This window comes from Homo sapiens, chromosome 6 (assembly GCF_000001405.40).
Source record: "Homo sapiens chromosome 6, GRCh38.p14 Primary Assembly".
Taxonomy (NCBI): Eukaryota; Metazoa; Chordata; class Mammalia; order Primates; family Hominidae; genus Homo; species Homo sapiens.
This window is the reverse complement of record NC_000006.12, coordinates 147,291,255-147,310,812: the sequence shown is the minus strand read 5'-3', so window position 1 is coordinate 147,310,812 and position 19,558 is coordinate 147,291,255. Positions and strand designations below refer to the sequence as shown.

At 35.9% G+C, this 19,558-nt stretch overlaps 1 protein-coding gene across 16 annotated transcripts in view; it reads right to left on the bottom strand.

Annotated features, from left to right (window-relative positions):
• STXBP5 (syntaxin binding protein 5) overlaps positions 1 to 19,558 on the bottom strand; it is a 186,057-nt gene that overhangs the window by 79,661 nt on the left and 86,838 nt on the right. For 15 of the 16 annotated variants that reach the window (XR_007059202.1, XR_007059201.1, XR_007059203.1 and 12 more), the window contains one exon: positions 575 to 729. Coding sequence is in view for 13 of the 16 variants with exons in the window: in XM_047418197.1 (XP_047274153.1) it covers positions 575 to 729 (155 nt within the window). In the remaining 3 variants the exon portion in view is untranslated. Of the gene's footprint in view, positions 1 to 574; positions 730 to 2,220; positions 2,303 to 19,558 lie in introns of those variants that run through there. The other variant, XM_047418201.1, reaches the window with a different exon arrangement.

Sequence of the window (19,558 nt, the reverse complement as noted above, 5' to 3'; positions counted from 1 at the left end):
ATTACCCTCTAAACGAATGGGCCTCATTCAGTCAGTTTAACGTCTTAAAAGCACAAACTGAGGTTTCCTGAAAAAAACGCAATTGTGCCTCAAGATTGCAACATAGAAACCATGTCTGAAATTTCAATCTATAGATTTCAGACTCAAGACTGCAACATGAATGCCTTCCTGAATTTCCAGCCTGCTAGCCTGCTCTACAGGTTTCAGACTGGCCAGCCCCCACAACAGTGTGAGCCAATTTCTTAAAATCAATCAATCAATCAATCAATCAATCAATCAATCACTTTCTCTCCTATGAGTGTGTGCGTCTATGGAGAATCCTTACTAATACATTACTATCTTAACAGAATTTTAAAATGTTTCTTAATATGAATAGCGTTTTTTTATTCTTCAAAACAGATTAAATTTATTAAACCACTTCTGAAATAAAGTTTGTAGATTATGAATGCAGCAGCTCTTCTCCAGAAGAATTAGCACAATAGGATGAGTAGTTTTATCTAAACAACCTAGGTCTTTTTTTTTTTTTTAATATCAGCTCTCTATAGAGAATGAGCTTTAAAGTTGCAAAGCTTACCATTTGGGTATGGTGTTTCACACAGCGTTAGAAAATCAACAATTGAATAGTCCATTTCTAGCACAGCAGTGCTTTTCCCATGCATCACTGTTAAGCAAGGTCTTCTTCCTACAGTATCATATGACAAACCTCCTGATAAAATAATAAAAGGCTCCCTGGAAATAAAATACATATTAAGATTATTAATGGCATAGTAAAGATAATTTTCTTGCTACATCATAATTTTTTAATTTAGTGAAATAACAAAATCTTAAATTCTAACATTTTTACACATCATATAATTGAATTGTCTCATGGAATTTTTAATTGGATTAGTTAAGACCCAAGTGAATTGCTGAAAATTAACCTGCAATAAAAATAAACATTGACTAAATTTAACTTTTATACCTCCCTAAAACTTTATCTCCTAAATAAAATTTTCATAAAATTCTCTCTGGCTTTCTGCTGATTAAAGTCTCTAAAATGTATTGCTTTGACTTCCAATCCTAACCAGGCCTTCTCAATAGAAGCTCCCACAGAGAATCTTAATGCCTTGAGGCATCCATTGTAGGTAATGGATTAAATTCTCAAGAACGCATCAAGAATTGTACTCAATACAAATCACTTTTGAGAGAACTGCGAAGTCACTCAAATCATGCCTTAATTTCTTCTAGAACCTTGGCTGATGCATTCTCAAACCATAGCTCCCATACACACATTTATCAGTTGCCAGCCTGATAATTCTAATTAGCCCCATAACTCTGTTATAACTAATTTTCCCATTCTCTCTATTAGTCATTATTAAACCTAAATTATTTATCTAGACTCATTTTCAAAAACTATTAATATATGCTTATTTTTTCACATATTATGGTCTGAGTATATTTCCACGCATTTGACTTGTCTTTCCATTTATTGGTGGTGAAGTTATTTATGGTACATTATACAGATGAATTAAATTTTCTGTATATTATTTTCTTAAGTATCTCCATTTATGATTTCTTAGTTTTTAAATGCTTAATCTAAGGTCAGTGTATCTATCTTCCTCCTTACCCATTATTCATGATGTTACTTCCTTCTTTTCCATCTCTAGAATTTTTAGTCTTCACATCTATAAGCCATACGTAATAATATCTAATGGTTAAAAGTGCTAGTTCTGGAACTAACCCAACTGCATTTAAATCTTAGCTCTGGCTTAATTTCTGTATGATCTTTGGCATGTTGCTTACCCTCTCTGTTCCTAGCTTCTACATGTATAAAATGGATATGTAGTGATAAGTATCTAATCTCAGATAATTCTTAAACTGGACAGTGCCTGGCTCAGCACATCCTTAGTAAGAGTCACCTACTTTTAATTATTATATCATCAAATTGTCATTATCATCTATTGTGAAAATTTCCCTTCATGGTGTGTGGGAAAAACACCCATTAAAACCACTAAATTATATTTATTTTTATCTAAAACAAGAGTAAATCAACTTCACTAAAATTTAATTAGATGGGTAATCATATGGGTATGTAGTTTATAAGTAAACTTAAATATCAATGCAATAGATGTATGTGCTTGTGTACATAATACTTTTATGAAACTACACCCTTATGTATCTTTCCTTGCTTTATTTTTTCCATAGCAATTATCACTACACAAATTTATTTATTTTGCTTACTGTTTTTCTCATTAAAATGTATGCTTCATGAGGGCAGTGGTTTTGTGTGATTTGTTCATTGCTGCATCCACAACAGTGCCTGGAACAGTACCTGCCATATAGTGGGTAGTAATTAAATATTGTTTCAAAGGAATGAATGAGTAGAAATGTGTGTTGCACTACTCATTTGCTACCTTACTATCATTTATTTTTTAGCACTAATTGATTTGGATAATGTTTCTCTAGCTAAATAGCAGTTAGGGAGCTTAAAATGTTATCCTAAATAGAACCATATCCATACATTCAGTGTTTCAACCTCTCAGCATACTGCAATTATTATGACCGTGCTCAGGAAAGTATATTTGATTTTCTTCCACTTTTTATCACATATAACGAATAAACAGAATACATCTCCACTCTTCTATACCTTGAGATGCAACATACAACTGAATTCAAATAATCCAAGGACAGGGATGAAGGGACCAGTGGGGAACTAACACTTGTTAAATTTTTAGAATGGAAGACTTGAGCCAGGTATTCTATATGTAATATTTCGAGAACAGCTGGTAAGTGTGCTTTTAAATATAACCTGTTTTTTTAAACTGTGTTATTAATGCCAGAACAATGAAGAGAGATTATAGCTGTACATTACAGAATAAAATGTCCACAAAGCACCCAGGGAGATCAAACCGGGTAGGTGACCAGTTTATACAATCTTGACACCATGGTAGCTAGGTAGGTTTATCCTCGGAAGGCAAGTAAGTTTTTCTTCCGTGGCTTTGTAGGCTGCCTGTACTTATTTTCTAAACTTATATTTACAAAAGAGAAACAGTTTGAAAGAAATGCCAACTGACCTGTCACCAAGGTAATTTTCCTTTTCATAATAATAAACATTTGCCAAATCTATTTTACTTGTGTTATTTTATGTGCTGTCTCTTTAAAATTGTCTGTCTGATTGCCAGGCAAGAACCATCCAACCCGTGAGCCTTCACAGGTTATATGTTTTTTCATTATAATGCCTCAAACTTGAAGAGTAAATATTAATAATTATCTTAAAAAAGAAATTAGTCATAAATACAATGATAAAATAAAGTTCAATATTTTAGCACTTCACAGCAAAAATTATGAAAATTTAAAGTTTTTGTAAGCATTTGGAATTGTATTAAAAGTTCCAGGGATCTCAACTATTTCTAGGTAACATGAATTACAAAGGTGAAGAATATTAATATTCTTTTAAAATAAAAAGGTAAGTCTTTTGATGTCATAAGGTCTAGAGATAATAGTTTTTACTTGATTACTTTAAGTAGAATTTTAGTAGAATCCCTTTTAATGATATTGGGTGTTAACCAAGACCCTTCTCATTTTGGAAGACAGCCAGGTTAGAAAGACGTCAGTTTGGAAGCCTTCTAGTTTGATTAGATTTTTTAAGAAACTAGACACTTGATGGAGTAAACACGCTTTCTGCCAATGATTACCTTCCCAGGCCTGCCTTAACAATAGGTTCAGCTGAAGCTATGTTTCCATATGATGCCTTCTTCACTTAAAAGTGCCACTTCTATCCAAAAAGCCATTTGTATAACTAATTTGTTAAACTCAGCTCCATAATACTACATATTCATTCACTGAAGTATTTTTAGCACCTGTGTTCCAGGGAATAAAGCAGTGCTCCTATGTCTAGTCTACGCAGACAACACACTGATAGGTATTAATATTATGAAGATCAATACAAGGCTCAGTGGTAGGCTGACTGTGAGGGCAGGGCCACAGGAGCGATAGTGAGACAGCATGACGAGGACAGTCCCCAGAAGGGATGGCAGTTGGGCTGGGACCTAAATGAATAGGAGCCAGCCATTCAAAGAACTGGGTTTGTGGAAGAAGGAGGTCCACTCTAGTCAGCAGGAATAGCCACCACAAAGACCAGAGGTCAGAAACGAGCTGGGTGTACCTGAGGAACTAACAGGCCATTGGGACTGCAGGACAGTGAGTAAGCCAGGACATGATAATGGGTGAAAGGACTCCAAATCATGCAGACACATCCTGTTTACTCCATTAGGATCTCTAGAATCTGTCTCCTCCTTTTCATCTCCACAATTACTTTTGTATGATAGCATTCAGTTGAGTTGTTCATTGACAGATGTACTTTTCCTCGTTTTCTGTTTAGTCAGTTCCTGTTCCTCCTTCAAAACTCATTCCAATCATCACCTCCTCAGAGAAACCTTTCCCAGCCCAGCCACCCTGGCAGAGTTGGGGGCCCCCTCCATGTTCCTAGCTACCTTCTGTATACCTCTACTCAGCATTACCACATTTCACTGTCAATGTTTATCTGCTTTGCATGTTCTAGCTCTGCATCCCCAAAACCACAGCTAGGTACCCCAAGGTGCTTGTCAAAGAAATATTCAAAATACCACTAACCCTACAGCTGAGCTGATCACTGCCTCACCAGACTTAATGGACTGGAAATGCTGGAGCATGGGGCCCAGGATTTCAGATGCTTCCCACACATGGCCAGATTTGGGGAACATACCTACAGCAGGGTGGAATTTAATTGCTGTGCCATTTTAATAATTGTTCTGCATAATTAGTACCTATATTATTCAATATCTCCATGTATTTAAAAAATTGGGATTTAAGCTCTAGTCAATCTCATATGACATTGTCTACATTACTAATTGTCTGCATTACTGATTTTACCAAACCCTCAACAATTTTTTTTCAAATGGAAATGTACAATTCCATTTTAGAGGGAACACTTAATAACTATATGTTTGGTAAGCAGAATTATACCTTAGCTCTTGAGAGCTACCTGGTAACTAATACCTAAACTTTACCACTCTACTCCTAGTGCTTAGCAGGAAGTCCAGAGACATATGTATTTACTGAATGAATAAATAATTATTGATTTTACAAGACCCTATATCAAATTCCTAAAATTCTTAACTCAAATTTCAAACATAAACTATTAATACCTAATTTGAAAAGTCTAATAGAAATTCACACTCTCCTATTTGGTATTAAATTATTTTTCACACAAAATAAAAAAGTTTAGATTTATTTTGCAGATTATATGTCAATTAAAATAGGTTCATATGCATAAATTGTTAGAGTAAAAACCAAACTTGTGGACACTCGAAAAATATTAATAATCTTTTTCTACTAAGTTTTTTAATCTACCAAATCAAAATGAAATAATCCAAAACAACATTTTCAAAAATCTCTTTAATAGAAGGGCTGAGAGGAAAAAAGAAATAAAATTGAAAATATCAGAAGATGAATTTGATGTACTTGTCTAAATACATGTTGCCTTGAACACTGCTTTCCAAACTGTGGTCAAGAAGTATTTAAATTTTTTTTTAAATTTGTTGAAAAGCTATGCTTTTGTAAAACAAACAAACACAAACTGTGAATACGTATGTAAATGCTGCAACAATGTCAAGTGGCATTCAAGTGTCTACACTCAGTCTTGATTTCTGTACTTATCTTGTCTTAGATCATTTAGCACACAGGAACTCTTTACAGCCATAATTTGAGCAACACTAGCCTAGCACAAAAATTGAGACTTCTAATACTATTACTTGACTTACTCTATCACTGGGTTTGTGGGGGGAATGTGAGGATGCTATTGAGGATCTCAATCCAAGCCTCATACCCCCTCACACTCTGGATGTAATCTGAAACCACGTAACTCTAGCTAGATACAATGGGGATACAGGCATTGGGTAAATTCCAATTTCTCCCATTCCAAATGGGAGAAATTGGCCAAAATTAAGGGGCTACAGGCCTCATGCAAATCCAAAATCCAAAAGGGCCATCATTAATCCTTAAATTTCCAAAATGATCTCCTTTGACTTCTTGTCTCACGTCCAGGTCACTCTGATGCAAGAGGTGGGTTCCCATGGTCTTGACAGCTCTGCCCCTGTGGCTTTGCAGGGTACAGACCCCTCCTGGTTGCTTTCATGGGTTGGTGTTGAGTGTCTGCAGCTTGTCCAGGTGCATGGTGGAAGCTGTCAGTGGATCTACCATTCTGGGGTCTGGAGGATGGTGGCCCTCTTCTCACAGCTCTACTAGGCAGTGTTCCACTGGGGACTCTGTGTGGGGGCACCGACTCCACATTTCCCATCCACACTGCCCTAGTAGAGGTTCTCCACAAGGCTTTCACCCCTGCAGCAAACTTCTGCCTGGACATCCAGGGATTTCCAAACATGCTCTGAAATCTAGGTGGAGGTTCCCAAACCTCAATTCTCGACTTTTGAGTATTTGCAGACCCAACACCACATATAAGCTGCCAAGGCTTGGGGCTTGCACCCTCTGAAGCAATGGCCTGAGCTCTATGTTGACCCCTTTTAGCCATGGCTGGGACACAGGGCACCAAGTCCAGAGACTGCACAAAGCGGCAAGACCCTGGATCTGGCCCTCGAAAACATTTTTTTCTCCTAGGCCTCTGGGCCTGTGATGGAAGGGACTGCTGTGAAGGTTTGTGACATGCCCTGGAGGCATTTACCCTATTGTCTTGTTGATTAACATTCAGCTCCTCATTACTTACGCTAATTTCTGCAGCAGGTTTGAATTTCTTCCCAGAAAATGGGTTTTTCTTTTCTAGAACATCATCAGGCTGCAAAGTTTCCAAACTTTTATGCTCTGCTTCCCCTTGAACACTTTGCTGCTTAGAAATTTCTTCCACCAGATAACACCAAATAATCTCTCTCAAGTTCAAAGTTCCACAGATCTCTAGGACAGGGGCAAAAAGCCACCAGTCTCTTTGCTAAAGCACAGTAAGACTCACCATAGATCCAGTTTCCAACAAGTCCCTCAGCTCCATCTGAGACCACCCCAGCCTGGACTTCACTGTCCACATCACTATCAGCATTTTGGTCAAACCCATTCAACAAGTCTCTAGGAAGTTCGAAACTTTCCCATATCTTTCGGTCTTCTGAGTCCTTCAAGTCTCTAGGAAGCTGCAAACTCGCCTACATCTTTCTGTCTTCTTCCGAACCCTCCAAACTGTTCCAACTTCTGCGTGTTACCCAGTTCCATAGTCACTTCCACATTTTTGGATATCTTTTCAGCAGTGCCCCACTCCTGGTGCCAATTTACTGTATTAGTTAGTTCTCCTGCTGCTAATAAAGACATATCTGAGACTGAGTAATTCACAAAGAAAAGAGGTTTAATTGACTCACAGTTCAGCATGGCTGGGGAGGCCTCAGGGAACTTACCATCATGGTGGAAGGTGCAGCAAATATGTCCTTCTTCACATGACAGAGAGCCGAGCAAAGGGGGAAGCCTCTTATAAAACTATCAGATCTCATGAGAACTTACTCTCTATCATGAGAATAGCATGGGGGAAACCACCCTCATGATTCAATTACCTCCCACCAAATCCCTCCCACTTCACATGGGGATTAAGGGAACTACAACTCAAGATGAGATGTGGGTGAGAACACAGTCAAACCATATCAGTACTAAATTGACAAAACAAAAATCATCCTATACTGATCAGATTATTTATGAAATTGGTATATTTTATACTCACTTCTTTAAAGTATACACAGATACTACTGAAAAGCAATATGGCAATTTGTCGAGAGCCACGGAAAACCTCTTTCCTTCAAAATTTCACCATGGGAAATTCATTATAATGAAATAGCTCAACAAAAGATTTTCACTACTGAATTATCTATGACATCAAAAAGGAAAGCATACTCACTCCTATATTTGTATTTACTATGTAAAAAACCTGATTATAAAAATCAATAAAGACATAATTGATATCTGTATCTCACCAAATACATGTTATACGCCAGTATGCATTTTCCCTTGTGAATCCACCAATTTGGAGTACAATGGCACCATCTTGGCTCACTGTAACCTCCGCCTCCTGGGTTCAAGTGATTCTCCTGCCTCAGCCTCCTGAGTAGCTGGGATTACAGGTACATGCCACCATGCCTGGCTAATTTCTCCATTTTTAGGAGAGTCGGGGTTTCACCATATTGGCCAGGCTGGTCTCAAACTCCTGACCTCATGATCTGCCCACCTAGGCCTCCCAAAGTGCTGGGATTACAGGCATGAGGCACCATGCCTGGCCTTGTTTTTCTTTCTTTTAATGTCCCTGCATCCTGGCTTGTGTTTGAAATGATGCTAATAAGGTACTCTCACAAATTAATCCTTCCTACAATATATCTCCTGGCCTTCCTTCTGTTATCATTCTCATCAATTGTTCTGTAGCCCCGAACTATCAAACCAAACTATCTTAGCCTCAGAGCGTATTATGCTGGCTTTCTTTTTGTAGGTGTGTGCCTGTTCAGAATCTCCTAGCCCTCTTTTCTACTTGTTTATTTTGGTGTCTTTCAAGACAAAATACCAGTGTTGGGAGTTTTGACTCTAAAGGGTTCGGAACTGGCAGGAAATCATTTTGTAGGTGCTAACAGTAGGCATATAACATTAGGCTTCATTATATATGTAATATCAGTTTAAATTCAACAGTGATGAATTAAAAAACAAATATAGGGAATAGCCTAGAAATAGAGGGGCAAGGATTTTAGCACTTCAAATTGAGTCATGGATAAGTCCAATCTTGGGCATATACTTACACAGCTACTAAAAGAGGTGTTCTAATGTCAAAAGACAGAGTTATCAATCTAGTAGACATAATTTTCTGGCAATACGGGATTATAACACAAAGCTATAATAGTCACCTTTCCCCAGACAAGTGATTAAAAATACAGCAGTAGCAGGTCTGAAGTCACGAGAACACAAAGCAGTGTGGTAATCTCACCATGTGAGCTGGCTTGATTGCTCCCTGTATTTGACCACTTACTACAGGTAGAATTATCCACTAGTTTATTATACAGTGTAGGGAGAAGACATCAGAATTGTACTAAGCAAATGCAAGTCAAAATCTTATCTTAAAAACAAGAAAGTGAATGGCAATTTATCATAGTTAGGTGTGAGATTTGGGGATTAAGACTGGGAGAAAATATTCTAGTTTTGAGAGACTAAAGATAATATAGATAAATCTGGGCTGGGTTGTAGAATGACTATTTCTGAAGACAGTGATAAAGCAAAAATCAACCATTTAAGGTTAAAACTTTTTGACTGACATACCAAAAGTAACATGAAAAAGGGTAAGGTTAACTGATGAGGCACTTCAAATTGTAAAAGTCCATAGACTCAAAGAGATCTTTACTCATTAGATGAAATTACATACATATATGCCTGTGGACTTTTTCTTAACAGACGTAAGACCAAGTGCCATAATCACAAAGGGAACATGGGAGTGCAGATATTGCTTCAACATACTGATTTCATTTCCCTCAGATATGCATAAAGTAATGAGATTGTTGGATCATATGGTAGTTCTATTTTTAACTTTTTGGGGAACCTCCATATGATTTTCAATAATGGCTGCACTAATTTACATTCCATCAACTATATGTATAGGTTCCCTTTTCTCCATATACTAACACTTTTATCTTTTGTCTTGTTTGATAACTGCCATTCTAACTGGAGTGAGGTGATATCTTATTGTGGTATTATTTGTATTTCCCTGATGATTAGTGATGTCGAACATTTCTTCATATGCCTGATTGGTCATTTGTATTTCTTCTTTTGAGGAATGTCTGTTAAAGGTTTTCTGCCCAATTTTTATCAGATTTTTTTTTTTTGGCTATTGAACTGAGTTCCTTATATATTCTGTATATTAATCTTTAGTTAGATGTATAGTTTACAAATATTTTCTCTCATTCTGTAGACTGTCTCTTCACTTGGTTGACTGTTTCCTTTGCTCTGAAGAATCTTTTTAATTGGATGTAATTCCATTTTTCTATTTTGGCTTTTGTTGCCTACACTTTTGAGGTTCTATCCAAAAAAATCTTTGCCCAGTCCCATATCGTGAAGCATTTCCCATGTATTCTTCCAGTAGTTTCATACTTTCAGGTCTTACATTTAAGTCTTTAATACATTTTTTAGCAGATTTTTGTGTTTGGTGAAAGGAGTGTGGCTTTAGTCTTATCCATGTGGATATCCTATTTTCCCAGCAGCATTTATTGAAAAGAATGTCCTTCCAATTTTTGTTCTTTGTATCTTTCTTGGAAATCAACTGGCTATAGATACACAGATTTATTTCTGGGCTCTCTATTCCACACCATTGGTCTATGCATCTCTTTTTATGCCAATACCATGCTGTTTTGATTACCACAGTTTTGTAGCATATTTTGAAGTCTGGTAGTGTGATGTCTTCAGCACCGTGTTTTGTGTTTACTTGTTTGGATAAATATTACTTTCACTATTTACATTTTTTGTGGTTTCATATAAATTTTAGAAAGTTTCCTATTTTTGTCAACAATGTCATTGGTTTTTGATAGGAAATACATGGAATCTGTGGCTCATTTTGGTTAGTGTGGACATTTTAACAATATTAATTCTTCCAATCCATGAAAAAGATACACTTCCATTTGTGCTCTTCAATTTCTTTCCTCAATGTTTTATAGTTATCAGTGTAGAGATCTTTTATCTCCTTTGTTAAATTTAATCCTAGCTATCTTTTTTCAGTAGCTATTGTAAATGAGATTGTCTTCTTGACTTCTTTTTCAGTTAGTTCACTATTAGCATATAGAAATGTTACTGACTACCATACATTTTCTATCCTGCAACTTTATTAATTTCACTTATTAGTCTTAACAGTTTTTCAGTTGAGTCTTTAGGATTTTCTATATAAATAAAACGTCATTCTGTTTGCAAACAGGGATAATTTGACTCTCTCCTTTCCAATCTGGATGGCTTTGTCTTGCTTAATTGCTCTGGCTAAGACTTCCAGTACTATGTTGGACAGAACTGGTGAAAGTGCACAAGAAATTCCCTAGGATGAATCCCACTTGATTGTGGTACATGATCTTTTTAATGTACTGTTTAATTCAGTTTGCTAGTACTTTGTTAAAAAATTTTGCATCTATGTTCATCAGAGAGGTACTGTTGATAGTTTTCTTTTTTTGTTGTGTGTTACTGGGTTTTGGTATCAGGGTGATGCTGGCCTCATAGAATGAGTTAGGGAGGATTCTCTTCAATTTTTTAGAATAGTTTCAGGAATTAGTATTGGTAAGAGAATAATGCTGGTTTCGTATAATGAGTCTGGAAGAATTCCCTTCTCTTCAATTTTTTGAAACAGTTTGAGGTAGACTGATATTCTTCTTTGTATGTTTACTAAAACTCAGCACTGAATATGTCCAGGTCTGGGCTTTTCTTTACTGGGACACTACTTTTATTACTGATTCAATTCCCTCGCTTGTTATTGGTCTGTTGAAATTTTCCATTTCTTCCTAAGTCAATCTTGGTAGGCTGTATGTGCCCAGAACTTCATACACTTTTTTTTTTTAGATTACTCAATTTGTTGGCATATAATTATTCATCATAGTTTCTTGTGATCGTTTCTATTGTACGGGTTGTAATGTTTCCTTTTTCATCTCTGAATTTATTAATTTGAGTCATCTCTTTTTCTTAATCTTACTAAAGGTTTGATTTTAACTTTTCAGAAAACAAACTGTGTTTCATTGATATTTGGTATTTTTATTTAGTCTCTATTTTGTACAAACTGTGTTTCATTGCTACTTTGTATTTTTATTTAGTCTCTATTTTGTATATTTTGGCTCTGATAATTATTATTTCTTTCTTCCTACCAATTTTGGGTTTGTTCACTTTTTTCTAGTTCCTTGAGGTGCAATGTTAGGTTGTCTATTTGAGATTATTGTGCTTTTCTGATGGAAGTATTTATTGCTACAAATTTTCCTCTTAGGACTGCTTTTGCTGTATTCCATAGGCCTCAGTATATTGTGTTTTCCCATGTTGTCTCAAGAATCATTTATTTTCCATTTTCAACGTCTTTATTGACTCATTGGCTATTCAGAGCATGATGAGTAATGTCCATGTATTTTTACAGTTTCCAAAGTTTCTCTTGTTAATCATTTCTAGTTTTATACCACTGTGGCCAAAAAAGCTACTTGATATGATCTCTATCTTCTCACATGTGTTAATACTTGCTCTTGACCTAACATATGATCTCTCCTCAAGAATGTTCCATGCACAGTGCAGAAGAATATGCATCTGCAGCTATTGGATGGAATATTCTATAAATGTATGTTAGATCCACTTCGTCTACATTGCAATTTAAATCCATTGTTTCTTTGCTGATTTTCTGCCTGGATGATGTGTCTATTGCTGAAAGTAGGGTGTTGAATTCCTCTACTACTTACCTACTGCAGTTTCTCTCTCCCTTTAGATGTAGTAATAATTTGTGTGCTCTAGTGTTCAATGCATATATATTTGTAATTCTTAAATCCTCATGCTAAATTGATCCCTTCATTGTTACATAATGACTTTTTTGGTCATTTTTTACAGTTTTTGATTTAACGCCTATTTTATCTGATATTTTATAAACCTGCTCATTTTTGGTTTCGGTTTGCATGAAATATCTTTTTCCATACTTTCACTTTCAGTCTATGTGTATCTGTACAAGTGACGTGAGCCTATAGTAGGTAGCATAAAGTTTTTCTTTTTTCATTCATGCTATATCTCTTATAATTGGGAAATTTAATCCACTTACATTCAAGGTAATTACTGACAGGTAAAACTTACTCTTGCCATTTTGTTAACTGCTTTCTTGCTTTTCTGTATCCTTTGTTACATTCTTCCTTTCTTGTTTGGCTTTGTGGTTTGATGGTTTTTCTATGGTACTAAGTTTTGATTCCTTTCTCTTTCTTGTTTGTGCATCTGCTGTGATTTATTTCTTGGTGGTTATCATGAGTGTAACATAAATAATCATGTGGTTACAACAGACTATTTTAAGCTGATAACAACTTAACTTTAGCTGCATAAAAATATTCTAGACTTTTACCCTTCTCTCAACATTTCTCAACCCTTCTCTCAACAAAGTAACATTTTTGTTATATATCTCCTTATTTATTGGGTGCTCCTTAACAACTACTTGTGGCTGTAGTTATTACTATTTTGACTTTTAACCTTCAGAGTTGAGGTCTGAAAGATTTACACAGCATCATCATAGTATTGTAGTATTACGAGTTTGATTACAAATTTATCTCTATCTGTGAGTTTTATAATTTCTGATGTTTTCATGACAGTAATTACCTGCTTTTCACTTCTTGCTGTAGGACTCAGCATAATCATTTCTTGTTAGGCCAATCTAGTGGTGATGAATTATCTCAGCTTTTCCTTGTCTGGGAAAGAGTTTATTTCACGTTCATTTCTGAAGGATAGCTTTGCTGGGTACAGTATTCTTAGCTGACAGGTTTTGTTCTTTCAGCATTTTGACTATACCATCCATTCTCTACTAACCTGCAAGGCTTCTGCTGAGAAATCCGTTGATAATCTAATGAAGATACCCTTACATGTGACAAGGCACTTTTTCTGCTTTTAGAATTCTCTTTGACTTCTGACAGTTTGATTATAATATGTCTTGGAGAGGACCTTTTGAATTTAATCTATTTGAAACTCCAGAGCTTCCTGGATCTGAATATACATATCTCTCCCAACTTGAGCAATTTTCAGCTACTATTTCATTAAATATGTTTTCTGCGCCTTTCCTCCATCTCTTCTCACCCTCTATAAATATTATGTGAATATTTGTATATTTAAATGCAACTCTTAAGTTCCATAGGTTTGCTTCATTCTTTTTTATTCTTATTTTTTTTCCACCCTCTGGCTGGATTATTTCAAAAGACCTGCCTTCAAATTCAGAAATTCTTTCTTTTGCTTGATGTAGTCTGTTGCTGAAACTCTCAATTGTATTTTTCATTTAAGTTCTTCAGTTCCAAGATTTCTGTTTGCACTTTCCAAAAATGCTAACTTTGTTGAATTTCCTATTTTTTTTCTGATTTTGTTGAATTGTTTAACTGTATTCTCTTGTATCTTGCTGAGTTTTGTTTTTAAGAAACCATTATTTTGAATTTCTTTATGGGCATATTGTAAATTTCCTCTTCTTTGGATTCTGTCACTGAAGAATTATTGTGTTCCTCTGGGGATGTCATGTTTCCTTGCTTTTTCATATTTGTGTTCCTATGCTGAATCTGCACATTTGGTTGAATAGTCACCTGTTCCAATTTTATGGAGTAGCTTTTTAGGGGAAGATTTATTCCTGTATATGGGTGTTATGCTAGTTGGGTAGGGTGTGTTGGCTTTGGTTCTGGGTGGAGACATGATGTAGTCTCCATGCAATTTCTTCAGCTGTAATCCATGTCAGCCATGTCTGTGAGTGCCTTAGTGGCTTAGGTTGTAGACGTCTGTGGCAAGAGGAGTACAGCTTAGCCAGGTTTAGGCTTGATGGGCTGATTTTCAGGTTGACTTGGGGGGTGAACCTAGTAAAGGCAGGTTTGCTGAGCTTTTTTTTTTCCTACTGAAGGCACAGGTTCATGCCAGTTCAACTGGTTCAGGCACTCATCTGCCAGGTGAGGGTCTGCTGGGCTGTTTTTCCAGTCAGGAGCAAGGACATGTAGTACTGCAGCAGCCCAGGGCTGCCTCCCTCATTGTACAGGACCATCTGTTTTTTTTTGGGGGGTAGCATGCTGTATGGGTGTGGGCACCAGAGCCACAACTGTTCCTGGCCACAGGCACTGAGCAGCTGGGATCATGGCATTGTAGTCACCCATGTGAGCATGGTGGAATGACAGTGGAGCCTCAAGAGTGGACAAATGAAGTGGCTACTGGTCCCCTGAGCAGAGCACTCAAGCACTGGCTCCAATTTCAAGATGGCACCATACTATAGCAGCTTGGGTCATGGGGTGGTGAGGGTACACACATTGTTCATTCTCTGGAGCATTGCAGCTTCATGGAAATTCCTTGAGGCTCTACAAACTGGGCTCAGGGCCTATGAGTACTGTAGAATTCTATCAGAGAAGGACTGCATGTGCCTGCAGTGGTAATGGGGACTGTTGGGGGCCTATGGCTTACGTTTTCCCCACAAGGGGAAGTGCCTCCTGGCTCAAAGTGGGAGACAGGGCAGCAGAGTCAGGGTGTTTTGCTCCCCCTCTATGCCGTCATCCTGGGTTGCCATACTCCATGGGGAATTGGCCACTCGCTTTCTGCGCTCTATCACTTTCCTTCAGAGGCTCTAGTCAAATTTTAGTTGTCTGTTCTTTTTGGTCCTTTTGTGTGTGCGTGTGTGGGGGGGATGGTGATTAACACCAGGCACCTCTAGTCAGACGTCTTGCTCAAGGACCCAATATTCGCTTTTAGGTTCCATAATAAAGAGATGCTTTTCCCAAAGCTGGTAATTATTTGAATGGTGATCATTTCTGGAGAAAACTAACTCTTCTAATGCTCTGTAGCTCAAAACTCTAGAGTTCATCTGAGTACCTATTTGAACCCATCCAAAGTTGTTTCTTGTTGAAAATCTGGCCCCACTGACACCTTCTTATATAGTCTACTAGTGAAAAGAAAAGTGTAAAGTAGAAATGAAAAGAAACTAGAGTTATCAAACACCTATAATGTGCCAGACATATATTATTTCATTTAGTCCTTCATGAAGAATTTTGTAAAGTGGGAATTATTGTCTCTGTTTTATTAAGGTAAGGTAAAAAGGTCAGCGAGGTTAGGTAACCTACCAAAGATAATACAGTTAGTAAGTGGCAGAACTGGGATTTGGACCCCAGTCTAATAATCCAAATCACCAATTATTTCTACTAAATCAGGGACTTTCAAATATTTTAATAATGCCCCATAGGAAGAAGTGCATTTTACTTCATAATCCAGTATACAGACAAATATATACCACTGAATAAAATTTCATGAATCAATATTTACCCTTAAAATATGCAGTGCTCTCTATTTCCTATTCTAGTTTATAAGTTAGAAATTGATGGTCACAACTGGCAAAACTATTTTCACAACCCACTAATGAACCATCATATGTGATATCTAAAAATTTTTTTTGACATCAAAAAGGACTAAAATACTTTTTTAAATCACAGCCTTTCTCTTTCAGATAAATATGATTCTCAATTTAGGAAGGAATACTAGATTCTTCAGTTATAAAATTTGGTCAACCTTGCCACTTGTACACTTGCTTTGTGGAAGCACGATAAGTGAACAACTGCATTTTAGGTGTTTGTCAGAGGTAATCAAACATCTGAGACAACCAGTATGTGTGAGACATATACCAGTGGTGTATGTGACACAACTGGTATAAAGAGCACGTTACAAGTGCTTTATATATTTATCTAATTTTTTAACAACTCAATGAGGTAGGCAATATTATTATTCCCATCTTACAGATAAAGCAACAAGCAGAGAAGGCTTATTTGGTTTGCCTAAGATTACATAATGAGTAAACACCTGAGGTGGGATTCAGACCCAAGTAGTCTGACTCCGGAGTTCACACAACACTGTGCTGACTGCCATTCACCATGGGATTTCATACCTGATTCACATTAGTTTCTCAAAGAAACAACTTCAATGGAATTGACTTAACATTTAATTTCTAACTTCTTATAAAGAAAGAACTGGTTCCATAATAAAACTGCCACTAAAATACTTTATTTCCCTATGCTAGAGAACATCTGGTTTCTCCAGATCTAAGTTTTATTTGCTTTATCTCATCAGAAAATAAAAGCTATGTAACATCTCAATTCCATTTTTTGTCAGAATTTGCCTTTGCCTCAGAGTTAAACTAAGCACTTTTAATAGTTAGCTCTTTATCACTATCTTTTCAATACACCTGCCTATCTTCTTCTTCACATTCAGCACCACCATGCTTTCACTGAGGTGAATGTTTAATGTGGGTGACATATATTCAATAAACAATTTCATTACTAACGATATGTATGGGTTGTAGAAAGAAAAAGTACTGCATGTTTTGAGAGTATATTATTGGAGGACCTAACCTGGCCAATGAGGCTAGAGTATCTTTAAGGTTGCATATTTTTGCTGAGCCACAAAAGATGGTAGGGAATCCACCTCAAATTATTTCTAAGCAAAGAGAAGAAAATGTAGAAGACCCTGAGAATAAAAGGATGGCTTTTTATAAAATTTGGTAACTTGCCAAAAGGAACTGTACAATACATTCTGTTGGCATCTGCTTATGATACCTGATAGGAACAGGAAAAAGATGAGTGCTGCCCAGCTTAATGAATAGAGGCTGATTCTGCTCTAGCTGGAGTGGGTAGCACAGTTCTCGATTTAGGCTGCATAGTATAATGTGGAAAGCTATTTCAAGGAAAGAGGCCAGGGACTGAGAGAAAAGAAGAATATGTTGAATTTACTGAATTTCCCATCTTAGGTGACAAAAGAAATTGAGAAAGTAGAGAACACTGTTACAAAATGGTGATCTTACTGATCCAGTTAACAGTATAACTACGTCATTTAACAACAAAGGATACCTTCTGAGGAATGCATCATTGGACAATTTTGTCATTGTATGAACATCATAGAGTGTAACTTACACAAATCTCGATGATATACTACATATCTAGGCTATATTGTATAGCCTATTACTCCTAGGTTACAAACCTATATAGCATATTACTGTACTAAGTATTGTAGGCAACTGTAACACAATGGTAAGTATTTGTGTATATAAACATAGAAAAGGTACAGTAAAGTACAATATTATAATTTATTGGGACCGTCATTGTATATACAGTCCACCACTGATCATGATGCTATTAGGTAGTGGATGACTGTATTTACAAATGCCTACAAAAGAGCAACATTTTAAATTTTCATTTCTAATTCTATGAAAGGAAAAGTATTACTGCCATCTTGAAGAAACCTGAACTCATAAATATTAACATTATTTAGGAGTAAAAACTGGAACAGGTGAAGCACAGAGGAAAAAATCTTCCCTGAACTGCTGCCTTTGTTGCCAGTCAATATTTGTTAAAATAACTAGATAAGAATAGAACCTAATTAGTCACTATTAATTTAAATATTTAGCCAATTCATTTTGTATTATAATCATAGATTTTTTTTTTCAGATTTTCTTCCTGTTTTTCTTTCTTTGCTACCATGCTTTTCCTATTTTAATTCCTTTGCCATAGGACAAATGTAACAAATAAAAATCAATTGGTGGCAGGGGATTTCCTTAAAAAAATGGCTTCTCAATCATTTATAGAGTTTATTATATACCAGAAACTGCTTGAAATGTTTTACATACATTATCATCTCAATTAAACAACTAATGTCTGACATTTTATCCATCTATGTCATAAGTGAGGAAAATGAACCACAAAGAAGTCAGATAACTATGCTACAGGTCACACAATGAAGGATGCAAGAGTCAAACAGATGATACACCTCTTAGAGTTCATTTAATCTATTGTTGGAATATAGCTATTGTTGGAATATATCTGTTGGATCTCAACAAACCCTAAAAAGAAGGAAGGAAAAGATAACGACATTTTTATATATATATTTTAGCCTGGTACCTTTACTCAAATGAGTTGAATTGAAATGGGAGGGGAGATTAAAAAGTGAGTGGGCCAGTTGTAATATCCAGTGGTTATAAACTGGTATACAAAAAATACACCAGTGTTTCTAAATGTTAGAGTGCATCAGCATTTCCTGTAGGTCTAGTTAAAACACAGATTGCTGGGTCCCGACCCTAGAGTTTTTGATTCAGTAGATCTAGGGTGGAATCTGAGAATCTGCATTTCAAACAAGTTCTCAGCTAATGCTGTTGGCAAAGGGACCACAATTTCAGAACCTCTGCACTATACTATATATACTCACTGTCCAACATAGCTATAGCAAATAAAAGCCATAGTAAATAAAACCATATACTTTTCCTGGGGAACTAGAACATAAATAAAAGAGTTTCTTTTAGAAGTTAAAGAGATGTGGAATCTTCACAGATATTTTATGTTTTTTTCTTTATATTTTTTAATCTAACATTTGACACAAAAATATACATAAAATATATAAATGTTTAAGCAATCTAATTTTCATATGTAATTCATATAGTGACAATCAATGTCTTCAACTACAACCAACAAACTCCCTTTAATATTAAACTGTATTTATTTTCATAATTGGCAGATACTCATATAAGATTTAATTTCTGAAGAATACATATAACTTTCATAACATATATAGTAAAAATAAGTTAAATTTTAAATCTTTTTTTCTTCATTGCTTATTCCACAATGATCACTAGTGAATAAACACTATTGCTACTGAAGACTGATCTAGAGAAGGCACGAAGTTTAACAGGAAAAATAATTCAAACTTTCCAAGATAATGTGTAAAACTACTAAAGACAAGAACACAAAAAAGTATTTTATCCTAAATTTACCAATTTTACTTCTTTTGTTAAATAAAAAAAGCATAAAATTTAAGAATGGTGTAGACTATTCTAAAATAGGCC